This window comes from Homo sapiens, chromosome 3 (genome assembly GCF_000001405.40).
Source record: "Homo sapiens chromosome 3, GRCh38.p14 Primary Assembly".
Lineage (NCBI taxonomy): Eukaryota > Metazoa > Chordata > Mammalia > Primates > Hominidae > Homo > Homo sapiens.
Window position 1 is genome coordinate 25,896,421 of NC_000003.12, and position 14,989 is coordinate 25,911,409.

The 14,989-nt window shown below is 38.7% G+C and overlaps 1 long non-coding RNA gene across 2 annotated transcripts in view, besides 1 other annotated feature; it reads left to right on the forward strand.

The window, feature by feature from the left end:
* LOC124909357 (uncharacterized) overlaps nucleotides 1–14,989 on the forward strand; it is a 105,069-nt gene that overhangs the window by 22,643 nt on the left and 67,437 nt on the right. The gene's annotated exons all lie outside the window — the stretch shown is intronic.
* Nucleotides 9,644–10,309: an enhancer, noted in NCBI's record as "OCT4-NANOG hESC enhancer chr3:25947555-25948220 (GRCh37/hg19 assembly coordinates)". NCBI's record gives its function as "activates a minimal SCP1, AML or CMV promoter by ChIP-STARR-seq in primed H9 embryonic stem cells {active_cell/tissue: H9 hESC(primed)}" and the evidence as "EXISTENCE:reporter gene assay evidence [ECO:0000049][PMID:30033119]".

Sequence of the window (14,989 nt, forward strand, 5' to 3'; positions counted from 1 at the left end):
CCTCGGCCTCCCAAAGCGCTGGGATTACAGGCATGAGCCACCACATCCAGCCTTTGTTTTCTTTCTTTTCAAAAAAACACAACTCTATATTTCTAACATGTAGAACAGTGCCTGGCATAAAATAGGTGTTAATAAATATCTGTTGAACACTTTACTTAGAGACCAACTTGTACATCCACAGATATGTTAGATACCTCCTGAGTTTCTTGTGAGATAATCTACAGACCAGTTAAGTTTGATCACAAATTAGCTCTTTTAGGGTTGCTTCCCAAATCCTGCCCATACCCTTGGGTGGATTTTCTGGCCTCCCCACTGCCAAGATCCAGGGTAGGGATAAAGGAAGAGGAGTGAGAGTCAGACACTCTGGCTCACAGCCACCTAGTTGAAATCCCTTTGGAATCTCCATGCTCTTCTCAGAATTTTTTCAGAAAAGAAAAGAACATGCATACAAATTGGGAATAGGCTATTTAAGCAGATTTGTCTTTTGACTTCAAGTATTGGATACATTGATTCTTTATTCTTTGAGTACAACAATCTGAACATTCTCATTTTGTGGGACACTACCATGGTGTGAGTCTTGTTGAATGCAGGGTATTACCTCACATCATTGAATCCAAAAAGTCCAATATTCTCTCTCCTTGGAATGGAGGCTGGAGAACGGGCACGTGACTGAGGGCTGGGACTTGAGTCCAGTGTTTCATAGTAACTTTCAATCTGTTAAATGGCACAAAGTTAATGGCACCAGTATTCCACTCTGGCAGCAGACGTGACAGTGCCTGGTGACGAGAAAGCAGCGACATCTAGAGGTGGCAGGTGCACTGTCTTACAGTAGCAGTGGTCTCCTGTGGTCTAACCTCTTCAAGTATTTCGATTCTTTTCCATTTTGCAGGCCTGGTCTTCCACATTTTTGTTGATCTGTGATCTCTTCATGTTTTTCTAGTATATTATCTTTGGATTAATATAACCAGAGTCAGTTTTTATTGCTTGTATTCAAGAACTCTAATTGATATGAAAGGTAAAAAAAAAAATTCCAAACAAAACAAACTATGGTAAAAACATGGTAACTTTTATATTAACTTTCTATCATATGATAATTAATGTACAAAGTATGAATGGTACTATTTTGTTTTTCTTATATTTTAATAGTTGTGATGGTTAATTTTATGTCAGTTTGGCTAGGCCATGGTACCCAGATTTTGGTCAAATTTTATTCCAGATATTTCTGTGTAGGTATTTTCTAACGATGAGATTAATATTGACTCTGGGCAAAGCAGATTACCTTCCAAAATGTGGGTGGGCAATATCCAATCAGTTGAGGCCTTAAGAAAAAGATTGATCTGCTCTAAAGAAAGAGGAAATTCTGCTAGCAGATTGCCTTTGGACTCAAACTGCAACCCTTCTGTGGGTTGAGGGACTGTTAGCCTACCCTGTAGATTTTGGACTTTCCAGGCCTCCAAAACCTTGTGAGCCTATTCCTTAAAATCTCTCTCTCTTCGTGTACACACACACACACACACACACACACACACACACACACACACACACCCTATTCTGTTCTCTGGAGAATCCTGACTAATACAATAGTGAAACAGATTACACTCTGATTGTGTTCCTCATACTAACTAGCTCTTGTAATACTTAACTCTTTGAGGCAATTATGCACCCCCACCCTCTTGCTGGATTCAGGCAAAGATTCTTTTGGGAGAAGGAGCTCCTGATACATCAGTGAGCAGACCCATTTCCACTTCCCAGAGGGTGTAAAGAAGGTCCAATTAGCGATTGGTCAGGGAATGTCAACTTATATGCAGCTACCAGTGATCTCTTAGACTAGCCCTTTCAAGGCTGCGGTGTGGGAGCTACACTCAGGAACAACAACCTCATAAACCAGAGATGTACCTCTGGGGACGCTGTTGCTGGTGGTAAGAGGTTCAGAGTGGTTGCAGTTGGACAAGATCTTGCCAATTCAAGCAATTCTTCTTTTTTTTTTTTTTTTTTTTTTTTTGAGACGCAGTCTCGCTGTATCACCCACGCTGGAGTGCAGTGGCGCCATCTTGGCTCACTGCAAGCTCCGCCTCCCGGGTTCACGCCGTTCTCCTGCCTCAGCCTCCCGCAGCTGGGACTACAGGCGCCCGCTACCGCGCCCAGCTAATTATTTGTATTTTTAGTAGAGACGGGGTTTCACTGTGGTCTCAAGCTCCTGACCTCATGATCTGCCCGCCTCGGCCTCCCAAAGTGTTGGGATTACACGCGTGAGCCACCGCGCCCGGCCCAATTCAAGCAATTCTAATAGGGTCATTGAATCTTTCTGGCTAGTATTGGAAATAAACTAGGGAGGAAACAAAAAAGAAATGGGACTTAAGGCAAGAAGAAACGGACCAGCCTACTTCTTTGCTTCAAACCTGCCTGATGCCATAGGAATTGGAAGTTGAAAGGAAGGAATAAGAGAAAAGCAAGTGAGGAATGATGGGGAACTGGGAGAAATGGTGCCTGGTAGAGGGGGTGAGAAGAGGAACTAGTTTTTGAGGGCATGTGAGACTACTTTTAGGAACTGTGCATGTAAAGACTAGATGGTGCTTGGGGGTCCTACATCATGCAGATGGGAGCAGCAAGCTAATAATGTACTTTGACTAATATTTATTATATTGTAGTTATGTTGATTTGCTGTGAGGCTCAAACAAATGAGATGAGGTAGGTGATGGTGCTGGGTAAACCATAAAATAATGCAAATGCAATTTAATAAAGGATATGTGGGTGTGCAGGAGAAAAACTATTCAAATGAAAGTTGGCACATCATTTTTCCATCCTACCAGCCTGCTCCTTTGCCCAGTTTCCCCTGATTTTAGGTGCTAAAAAGTAAAACCAAAGAGAAGGAAAGAAGGAATAGCAAATCTTATCAGCTCTCACCTAGACTATTGCAATAGTCCTTTCCCCCAGTATTTCCTGGAGTAATCCTTCTAAGGCACATATGCTCTTATCACTTTCCACTAGAAAGTGGAAAGACACTGAGATATGCCACCTAGATCCTCCTTTGAGGAAGAACTTTATGGAGCGTGGTCAGCAGACAGCCTCAGCTCTCCACTCCTTTCATATCTGCCTCAGCTAGAGTCTCTCCCCCTTCCCCCAGTCCAGTCCCAACTTCCCTTCTGACCACACAAGTCACATCCTGAGTGGAAGTAGGAGGACAAGGCCTAGAGGTTTCTACTTGAAGAACTACAACTCTGAAGAGTCCTTCTTGCTTCAGAACTCCTTACTGGGTTGTAGTTCTGAGGCTTTGCTGGGACTGCATCTTAGCTTAACTTCTCTCTCCACCCACTCTTGCTTCCTCCTTTTGTCTTCTCTTCATAGATATTGATCCCTCATAAACATCTGGCACCCCAAACTCTGTCTCAGTACTTGGTTTCAGAGAATGCAGCTTGCATACCATCTTTAATCCTTTTAAGTGATTGCTTCTTGTCTCCACAGAGCTTCCTAAGTAGGAGGACGTGGTCATCTCCTAAATAGACCTGGCACACAGCAGGGGCTCAGTAAATACTTGTTGCCCTTGGTATGCAAAGCCAGAGGATGAATAGGAGAACAATATTCTTTCCTCAGCCCTTCTTTCTTACAATTCCTGCAGTATTGTTTTCTCAATAGAAATAAAAAACATTAAATAGGAATATCTTGTAGACTAGATTATAAGTTACCATGAGTTTTAAAGTTAAAACTTGTGAATTTCAAATTATTTTGGCCCAAGCAGGAAGTTGCTTTAATCTCCGGCCTCAAACCCTGGAGATTAAACCCTGTTGATACTTCTGTGCTGTTAGAAGGACATTCATTAATAATCTGAGAAGTTCTGATTGTCTGCATCCTGACCTACATAGTATAGCATAAAGCATTCTCCACCATCTGCTGTCACCATCTTTGCAGCCAGATCTCCTGCCTTCCTTAATCTACATGCTTTACCCTAGCCATGTGGAACTGTTGTAGATTCCCTTGGAGTGGCCATGTGTTTTGAATATGCCCTAGATCCACCCGCTCATTTTTGTTCTGGTCATTGCATCTTGAATCTTTATTTTTGTTGAGGGTCCAGAACTTTCCTATGCCCTCTCCATGTGGTGTGGGTGAAGATGACTCTTCTTTTGGCTGGAGGAGTGGACTTGTGACCTAGGTCTGCCAGAGTGTCATGTTCCCTTGAACATAGTAACAGGAGATTGTGTGATTCAATTGGACATAGTAAGGCTCAATTTCGGGGCTTTTGTAAAACTAGTAGGAAAGAAGAAACATTTCTTTCTACTAGGGTTAATGAGAGACTGCCATGCAAGCTTAGAGTTGTTGCCAGCCACCTTGCCACCATGAAGGGGATGTCAGCCTCAGTATAGAGTCTACAGAGAGGAAAATGGAGCTGAGAGATAGAGATGCTAGTTTGTAATCTGTTAAATGCGTAGATTTAGACATATGTGAAGGCTGTATAACCCCAGATATTTTTACCTATTTGAGGCTGTACATTTCTATGCGTTTGTGTGTTTGAGTTTGTATATGTATATATGCCTTAAATGACACCTCACCTCTCACTCCTGGACCTGGCGAGCACCTTTGTTTTTTAAGCCTGAGGACAAATCACTTCCCTATTGAACAGGAATTCCTTGGTCAGAGGCTAAATTATTGCCTCCTTTGGTCTCTCATCGCATCTAGCCTATAGCTTCACTGGGGCATGTTTTACTTGCCGTGGTTTTCATCTGTTTACGTCTTCTGTTGCATAGTGATTCTCCTCCACTTCAGAGACTATACATTCTTTATTTTCTTATCTCCAGTGCATCATAGAGTACCTGGCACATGGTAGGTACTTTTTTATATTTGCATAAATGAGTGAAACTAGAAATAAGGGGTGGTCTATTATCTAAGTATAGCTACCCCAAAATACTGGATAAGATGTTTTTTGACTCTACTAATGGGATTATATATGTTTTCACTTGCAAAGAAGCTTTATTTATTGGAAGTATTAGAAATATGATGGTACAAAGTGTAATTTCCAACTGAAATAGGTAGTTTCAAGAATAATGTCCTAGGATGACATGTGGAATGTACTATGGTATTCCCATTGCTGTGCTTTCTGTAGGCAACTTCAGTTCCTTGTTTTTGCAATCATTAGAACTTAACCTTTGTTTTGTACTTTTGTTGTGAAAACCAATTGATTCTCAGCAACAATATTGGAAGCTTCTTTATCCCACCAGGATTTAAGGTAGACTAGAAGATCCAAATCTGCCTTCTTCAAGTGATGCTTGAAGTTTTCACGCATATGGTGGGAAAACAACTGCTTCTCATTAGTTTAGTCTAAAATAAAAGCTGTTTAGTCTTTTGAACATTTTAATGAGTTATTTGCTTGATCGCTTGGGTGAAACATTTCTCTGCAGTTAAGCAAATATATTAGAGGCACGTACAAATCTGTCAAACTTGATGTGTTGACTTTGCTCAGAACTTGGTTATTAATAATTTCTTAATAAGCAGCCCTTTAATCCTCCTGGTTTTGTAGACTGAACCTTTCTGATATCAAAGGATGAAGAGAGAGACATAGTAAACCTTTCTGTAAACATTGAGAGGAAGTTGGTAGGAGGCTCTCTGGCCCTGATGTGGTTTGCAAAATACATCAAAGCCGAGCAGTAAGAAATAATTATAATCAAGAAACTGAAAATGGTGACACAGATATATTTGTCTTTTGGTGGGAATGTTACTCCATCACACCATTTAACAGAATTGTTTGGGAATAGTAGTAAACAGATTTTATTATTAAGAAGAACTAGGAAAATTTTGTCTTTTCACTTTATGACAGGAAGGCAGACCTATAGAGTGGATATTTTCTCTTTTTTCAAAAATTTTACTGTGCTTTTACTGTTATTTGGAATAAACTCACATTCTATAGGTTAAATCACCTACTCTATTTTTAAGGACTGTGAGTTACATATGCATATTTGCTAGTAGGCAAAGTAAATGAAGTTATGATTGTATTACCAAAGTACAAAATTTGCTAAGTAAGATTTGGCTACAGAGAGGATAAGGGATAAAAATAAATATCATCTTGGAATATTTTTAAATGCACAGTGACATTTCAGGAGAAATGTACTTAGTTGCCTATTTTTTGAAAAAGCAAAGATCAGAGAAGTGAAATGTGGGAGTGATTCTATTAATGTTTCTGGTAGATTTTCCTATATTCTTAAAAATCTCAAGTTTCTTTCAGATTCATACACTAATAATTATATAAAGAGGGCAGAGAAAACAGCAATTATTATGATGACTGGATTAAGTACCCTGGCATGAAACAGAGAAAAACAAGCGTATCTGCATATGGGAACATGGCCACATAATGTTTTCAGCAACAGATTTCTATGGAGGATTTTTGGCATGAGTAATAAACATTCATATTGTTGGAATTGCCACATGAGTTATACTGGGGACTATTTTAAGATAAACCGGAACCTGTTAATTATTTCTTGGACTCTATAGTTCTAATTTATGTATTGTAAGATAAGAAGAATGTAAGTTGTTGATGACTTTTCTCTGGAGCATTATTAGTGCAGGTGTTTGTGGTTCTGAAACAATTTGAAAATTAAAAAATTCTGTGTAGCATTTTCAAGTCAGTAGGTGTAGGGTGTATTGATGATTCAAACTAATATATTCTGATTCAATCAATTATAATTGGCAGAAGCAGATTAGAACTCTAAGTAGGATGGGATATTCTTACCATTTTTGACTTCTCTTATCCTCAGAATGTCATGAGGAAAATGTGATAATAATAATAATGCCAATCTCATAGTATGGCTACTGTGAGAATCAGATAAAATTATGTATGTGTAGGGCACTTTGTAAATTACAAGTTACTAAATTGTATCTATACTTATTACCATTTTAAAAACATCGACGTTACTTCTAGCAGACGCTTATGATGCACCGAGCTTCATCCTGTTAGCCCACCTGATTTTAGTGCAGCTTAGGTGGACAGCTCCATGTGAGTTAACAGCATCCCTCATCAAGCACAGGATGTGACCTCTCTCTGCTGCCTTGGAGTGCTTTTTGTGAAAGCGCAGAAGGCTGATCAGTCATATACAGACACAACCTGGAAGCTTGGGGAAGCGAATGCCCTATGAGATAGGCTTGCTCCAAAGGCTGGTGGGAATCAGTGCATAAATGTCTCAGGCTTCTTGTCCTCTGGTGAGACAAATCTGAGATATGGCCCACGCCATTCCCCAGAGGAGCCTCAGTGAGAGTGAGCTGTAGTTGCCCACAGCAATAATCAGCAGATTAACACATGGATTGTACTGTCTTTTCCCTACTCCCTCACTTCTGCTTTCTGGGGCTGCCTCTCTTCAAACCATCTGCACCCAGCCTTTGTCTCAAGCTTTGCTCTCTGGAGGTATTACTCTAGCCTAACTCCCTCTAGACATATTAGCATAGTGCTAAAGAAACAAAAAAACATCAAACTACAGCAAAAATGAGATATTTCAGTAAGCACCCTATGGAGAAAAATTCCTGGCAATGAGTTTTACTACCATACTGAAGGGATTAGGGAACTGCTGTGATAATAGGTACTGTACTCAGGACTTTCAGAACTTCAGAGCTGTTGTTTTCAGTATATTTCAGACCTTTAATTACAGAAGAAAGTCTTGAATGTGGGGAGTGGGAACTCAAATCAGTTCTGTTTGAGTCATTGAATAACACTGTATAAAGTCTGCTGTTATAAAGCACTGTGAAAGGGGCGACCTAAGGAATGAAGAACAAAACATCAAAGGAACAAGAAAGAAGGAAGAATTAAGAATCGTGTGGATAATTGAGTCCCCAAACTTTGCCTGTTTTAGGCTTCCTTCCAATCCAGCATTTATCTTGGGACTGCCGGGTCTTATGTTCCATGAGTGCTGGGAACTCTGTGTATTGTTCCCTCTGTGTCACCTCACACAGCACATGGGACACAGCAGCTGCAGATAAGCAAATTTGGAATAAATGAATAAATTAACTGATTGAATTTCCCTGCTTAGGAGTGTGATGTGAGGGAAAGCCTTAGACCAGAAGGTGGCAGAAGGGGTTCAAGCCTAGGATCTGTCATTAACCTGACACATCAGCTTGCCAGCTCAACAGTCCTGCTGGTGCTGGTTATCCCAACACCGAAACAAAGGCCTTTAATTGGTTTCAGAGTTTTAAGAAAACTTGTTAAGCAACCGGACTTTGAGAGCAAGCAGAAATGGGTGTGAATCAAGACATCCCAAATGGGTGACCTTGTGAAAGTTAGTTTACATTTCTAATCCTAAAGTTTTGAGTTTGTCAAAGGGATACAATGATATCTTCCTCTATGGATTGTTAGGATGCTAACATTTAACATAGATAAAACTTTTCATATATAGTAGTCAATAATGTCTACTATTCCCTGCTATCTTCTTTTATTATTGGATTTCTGTGAGTCTCCATTTATCTGACAAAGAACCCTAGACTGGAGGAAATAGAAGAAAAAGAGTAGGACTGAGTAATTGATAGCTTGGGAAAAACCCTTCCAATATCAAAGAACTATTTATTTTTGTTGTTATATATCCAAATATTATAGATATATTATCAGGAAAGTTGGCATGCATACTAGTAATTTATTTTCTAGAAAAACTAGTATTTTTAAACTTTCTTAAAACTCAGACGTTTTATTTTTGGTCTTCCAGATTTCTATTGCCTCTTTGTTTTTTCATCTTCTCTTTGTTTTCACGGGTATCCTGCTTCCTTCTGTCAGGGGCTTTCTTCTCCTCCTCTTTTTCCCTGAGGACTTGGAGTCTTGCTGCGAGTTGGTAGTACTGTCTTGAGGACTCTGTTCTTGCACCGACCTTTTCTGCCAGTTCCTGAGCTCTCCAGCCCCTTTCATTAGAAGGAGCCAAGCATTCATTTGTTCACTGAGCATTTTATTTTTGTAGCAACTTACTGAATCTTCCAGTTCAGTGGATGCATTCCAGGCCAGAGGCTGCCTAAAGTATTTTTCAACAAATACTGTCCTCCAAACTCTCCTTCCTGGGTGTGAACTTAAAGATTGTTGGATGGGAATGGGCATGCTTGGCAACAGAATGCAGAGGGGAAAACTGGTGAGTTTGGTGAGCTGGAAGCCTGGCTTTACCTGGCTAATATGCCTCAACTGGTGAAGACCCTTTGGTGTTAGAAATCATTCCTCCCCTCCTTCCAAATTAACCCCCAACAAAGAAACAACATTTTTGCTTAGAAGAGTTACTTGTTTCTGTGTCATACTGCAAAAATAGCTGCCATTCTTCATCTCTTTCTATACCCTTCCCTTTGCAATGCGATCCCTTCTCTTTGCAGCTTCTCCCATAAAAAGGTACATTCTGTTTCTCTAAAACTTGAACCTAGGCTGGACTTATGACTTTCCTTGACAAATAGAATGCAGAGAAGTAACTAAGTGTGATTTAGAAGCCTGGCCTCAGGAGGCCGTGTGGTTTCTACTCTTTCTTTGGGAATGCTGCCAGCCATCATGTGAACAAGCCTGGGCAGTCTGATGGAGAATGGGATACCATGTGGGCCAGCAAGGAGTCAACCCAGTTTCCCAGGCAAGGCTTCAGACATGTGAAAGAGCTTAGCCAAGATTAGCCAAGCCTGGGCAAATGAGCAGAACCATCTAGATGGCCTAGAGATTCTTGAGTCCTAATACAGGATTGTTTTAAACCATTAAGTTTTGAGATGATTTGTTATGCAGAAAAATTGAACTGAATTTAGGTTTTACAAACCCACTAATATACACTATGTTAAATTGATAATTTAGATTCCAGGACGGCAATGACAAGCATGGATAATAATAAATACCAGAGCAGAGATGGGGCTAGAGGGCAAAGTTCCAGTATGCAAGGATGTTTCTTCAATGTTGCCTTTATCTGATCTCATTGATGGGCAATTCTTTGAGGACTCAGGCTCTTTAGTGGCTTTCATAGTATAAAGCTTTTGTAATGTCATTATAATGTCATCAAGTACTTTTCCAGCTCAGGAGGTCTCAAACTCTAGGGCTCCACATTCCTTTTCTAGGAGTTTTGTCTGTCCTGGGGTATTGTGAAAGATGGGCACACAGGACAAATCAGGTGATGACTGAACTAATCTTGGGGCATTGCTGTTGGATGAGCAATGTTTATGAGAAGTTTATTGAAAATGTTCTGTTTATACTTCCTATATTACATTAAATTGCATGACTTCAAGGAATTATTTTTCAAAAAATCATTTTTTTTTGTTTCCAAGTAACTAAAGATGTAAGTAAACGATGAAAAGTCAGTTTAACTTTTGTTAACTCAGCATTTAATCTTGTGCTCATTGGCTTACACATGACAACAAAAGGTCTTTAATGCTGAGTCTAAAAATAATTTAAACGAACATGATGTTAGTAATTTCTTTCTGGAAATTCCTTTTTTTCACTTAGCAAATTATTTTCTCTCTACAGAAAGCGAATGCTATATCCAAGGCTTCCTCTCATTTAAAAATTTTGAAGGGAGCTTTTTCCTTAATTAGCTAGAAACATCCAGATTTCATTGGCTTTATCCAGAGGCTGTAAGTCCTCATCACTAGTCAAACTCAAAATATTCAGAACGGAATTTGGTAAACTCAAGAAGAAGTAATCTCTAGATATTTGAAGATATTTCTATATTTATATGTTTCTCCTTCAGGAAATTTTAGGACTACATTAATATTTTTTCATCTAAGGTGACCAGCTTTTCCATTTTTTAATAGGATTGTGAAATAGTCCTTACTTAAGAAGATGTTTGAGATTCAGGAGAGATAAAAACTAGATAGAGAAAAACACTGTTGTGAATCATATGCTTTCGAAAAGGAAAATGTTCAAATTATCACAGTGTTACATGCTGTTTGGCTGGTTGGCTGTGCCAAGATGAGATTGGAACTTTGCCTGTCAGATCCCTTGGCTTCACTGAGCAGAGTTTTGTACCAATACTGCAGTAAAATTCTTGCTATTTATTTAAGACACAAATCAACATAGAAATATATACTCTAAGCCTAGAGAATCGAGAGAAAACTAGTCTTGACACAAAATTAGTAACACTTAAATTTATTTAATTCAAAGTCCATGTTAAAGCTCCTTCCAGAAAGAGGCGTATAGAGACATTGCCCAGTGATTATTATATGTCAAGAGTCTGATGCTCAGATTGGGCAAAACCAAGAGCCTCTTTTTCTCTCTACCTCTTTGCTGAATGTCTTCTTAAACTGGCTTATTTTTTCCCAGTATTATACATTATAGCTATGTATTATACCTATAAAATTAGATGATCAGGTAATGTAAGGCTTGCCTTTTTGAGGCTGTATTTGTATCCGAAGACAGAGAACAGATCATAGAAAGTCTGTTTATCATTGAGTTTATCTCAGGTGGCCACAGAGACATTTTTATGGAAAATGATTATTCTCTATTCCCAAACTTTATTTTGGATTCTGCTCCCAGTCCCCATTCACTGTTTCCCAGGTCTAATAAGTTTCCTTCTAAATTTGCCTTGAACTGATTGGGAATCTGTGAAGCCCACGGAGGTATACTCAGAACTCAGTGTGATGTGAGAAAGTGCATTTTTCCAGGAAGAAAAGCCAAATCTCTTAGGAGATTCTCACACAAATACATGCTTCTCCTCTGAAGTTGGAGCACCATCACTTAAATTGGCCATTGTGATTAAAGATGCTCCATTTGCTATGACTTCTTTCCCAGATAAATTGGCATAAATGGCTTAGCTGTCTAACAGCTTATAATCACCACCCATAACACAGTTATCAAAAAAGTTCTAAACAGTATGGTATGACCCAAACTATAATAGAAGAGTGAATAAAGAGATTCATGTGACCTATGGTGGAAATTTTTGAAAGATGTCACACTGAATCTTTATAAGCCCAGTTAAGAGCTAGAACATTTTAGGCATTCTTGACAGTATTATAAACAAATTCTACACAATTTTTAGCTAATAAATGAATTTATCATCTCATTAAAAATAATAGTGATAGATGTGTTTAGAATTAGATCAGTGGCTTAACTATGTTAGAGCTCTAGGTTGGCATCTCCATGATTCTCTTGTTCTACCCTCATGGTTGTAAAATGGCTACCACATCTCCAGGCATAACGTCACATAAATGACTTTAACTAAAGGCAAATGTAGGGTGAGAGCCAAAATAGTGAATATGATCTGTCCTCATGTCACTCTCATCTTTTATCAGGGAAGAGAAAAAATCTTTCTGGAACAACTTTCTTTACAATCTCCCCAGATAACTATTCTTTATTCCTTAAGGGCCAAAACTTTGATGCATAGCCATTACTAGAAACAGGAGGTCTTGGAAAGTGAGTGACTAGATTTTTCAGACTTTGCAACAGGAGGTGAGTGATGGTTAAGTGGGTCAGGAATGGCTGCGAGGTAGCAACAATCGTGTCTCTGCTATGATTGCCAAAATTTAAAAAATCAAGAGATTTCATGTGAAAATCTGAATTACACCATCTTTGGAAAAATGAGAAAAATCTGAAAATGCTGGCTGTGCTTGTGTGAAAAAGATAAGCCATTGCTCAGTAGCAGTTGCTTTATTAGGATAGGGAAGGAAAATTGATTTTGCCACAGGCCTCATTATTGTCCATTTTCTTCCCAACACTGGGACTCTGTTATTTGCCATTCCTCATTGTGTTTGCCTTGTTGTTTTTGTTAGATGAGGGCTCTTTCTTTTGTTCATCATACTTGGTTTTCCACTATAGGTATTTCAGATGAATTTGTTTGGGTGGTAAGACCAAGAAAACACAACATTCCAGAGTGACTTTTTTGGGTCCCTGTCTGTATGTAAAGTTTTGCTTTTAAAGAAGAAAAACCTAACTTTTAAGCAGATCATCTAGAATCTTAAGCCTTGCAGATCAAGTGAAAGTAATGCATTTGGCTGGAGGTGTCAACTTGTCATGTCCAGCAGGGAAAGTTAAGGAGGAGAGAAATGAATTTGCATCTCCCAAGATGATCAGATTCGGAGTAAAAATAATACAGCTTTATAAACAAAATAAAACCCAATCAAAATTCCTTTAAAATGAAGTTACTGAGTTTGTTCATTTGAGAACAGCAAGGGAAAAATATGAAATATTCAGAACATTTAGGGAAAAATATGAAATACAGTGATTTAAGGGGGACTTTAATGGATTCCCACAGGAAAAATATCATTAAAGAATTTAGAAAACAGCATCATGCAGTTGAGGAGTTTTTTTTTTTTTTTTTTTGCACCATTCTTAAAATGCCTCCAACTGATTTTCATTTACATTTTGACTCTAGGGACCCAAACATCAAAATTATACCGTTCAATACAGAATGACTCAGAAGCACCAGTGTTTCCTAACTCTTGAAAGTGAAGAACATACTATATTCTTATATTTTTATATAAACTACATTTTTATATAGGTTAAAAATTCACAAGCATTTATTGAATGGATTAGATTACTGCAGTCAGAAAGGTCTTTTTATACACTGCTTCTGTCAAATGTGTTTTTACTCACAAGATTTCAATAGTTTCTTAATTTGTACACGTTAAATCTTATCTCACCTGCTCAACTCATAAGGTTTGGCTCCACCTAGCTTCTCCCACACTTTCTTCCATTATTTTCTACTAACTCCATTCACTCCTAAAAGATTCTTTCTTTACTGTTTCAGGTACTCACTGCTTATATTCCCTGTCCCGTGTCACTCTATTTATTTTCTTTGTCTGCAAAGCCAGTCGTTCCACACCCAACTCTCATCCAGACTAAAACAAATTTTCAAGGTTCATTTTATGACTTGACCTCTCCCAGGATGCTTACCTCATCTTCAACATCATTAATAATCCGTTTTCATTGAGTTGCAACACTTTATACAGCCTTGTAGAGAACATTATTGCTGTATGGATAGAGATGATATGCTCATCAAGGACAAGGTTAGAACATTTTATTTGTTTTCTGGCCTTCATGCTGCCCATCATAGCACTGAGTACAAATTGGGGACTCAGTAAATGCTGATGAATAATACTTCCCTGACATCTTCAAGCAGAGTTCAGTGCTTCCTTTATATCTTGTCCTATGAAGCATTGTTCAGAGCTTCATTAGAGCAGTGGGCTCTATAAATAAATACCTGTTTATAAGACAGTAAGTCCTTGGTGATCTGCAACTATATTCTTTTCATCCTCAAGTCTCCAGCCTTTCATGCTGCTGGGCACATAGGCTTTTAATAAGTATTTGTTGACCAAATGTATGCATAATAGTTTTTCAGGTTAGAGTAACTAGCAGCACTGAAGACAATTTGATTAATAAAGTGACATCCCTGGTACTGGAAGCTGAGTATGTAGAAATGCATATGAGACTGGCAGTTCTACTCTAGGGAGAAAGGAGAAGTTTGCTGAAAAAGGAAGAAGTTTGCTGAAAAAGGGAGAATTTGTTAGGATAGATAATATATTTGGAATAGTTTCCTTGTAAGAGTTTCTAGGCGTGGTCTTGTAAGGTTGGGAGTATTTTGCAGGTTGGGTTTTTTTTTTGTAGGGGTAATGAATAAATTAGACACCCATGGCTTGGTTTAAACAATGCTTAGAAATGTAGTCATGATCATGATGGAGAGGTTATTGAATTTTTACCTTCTTATAACCATAAGGCAGAGGGTGGAATTAGGGGGTGTTTGGGAGGAGGTTATATAGAAAAAATACTTGAGACTATAAGAGAAAAAGCTGAGTGATGGATAAAGGGATAAAAAGAATACACTGAGCCTCTTATCTGCTGTGGTGTTCTTAAAGCAGATAAACTGAGAATGGTGGCGCCCCCTAGCTGTCCACGTACATCCACTCTATCCTTAAATAGTGATTGGATTTTTGGCAGCGCATATGGACAGGCTAAATTCCTAGTGTGTCCGTGGAACTAAATTCATATGATGTGTGCCACCTTTGGATCAGGACTTTTAGGAATGTGTGTGTGCCTCCTCCACACTCTCTTAATCTTTATGCCAGCTGGATTTAGAGGTTGATGAGATCT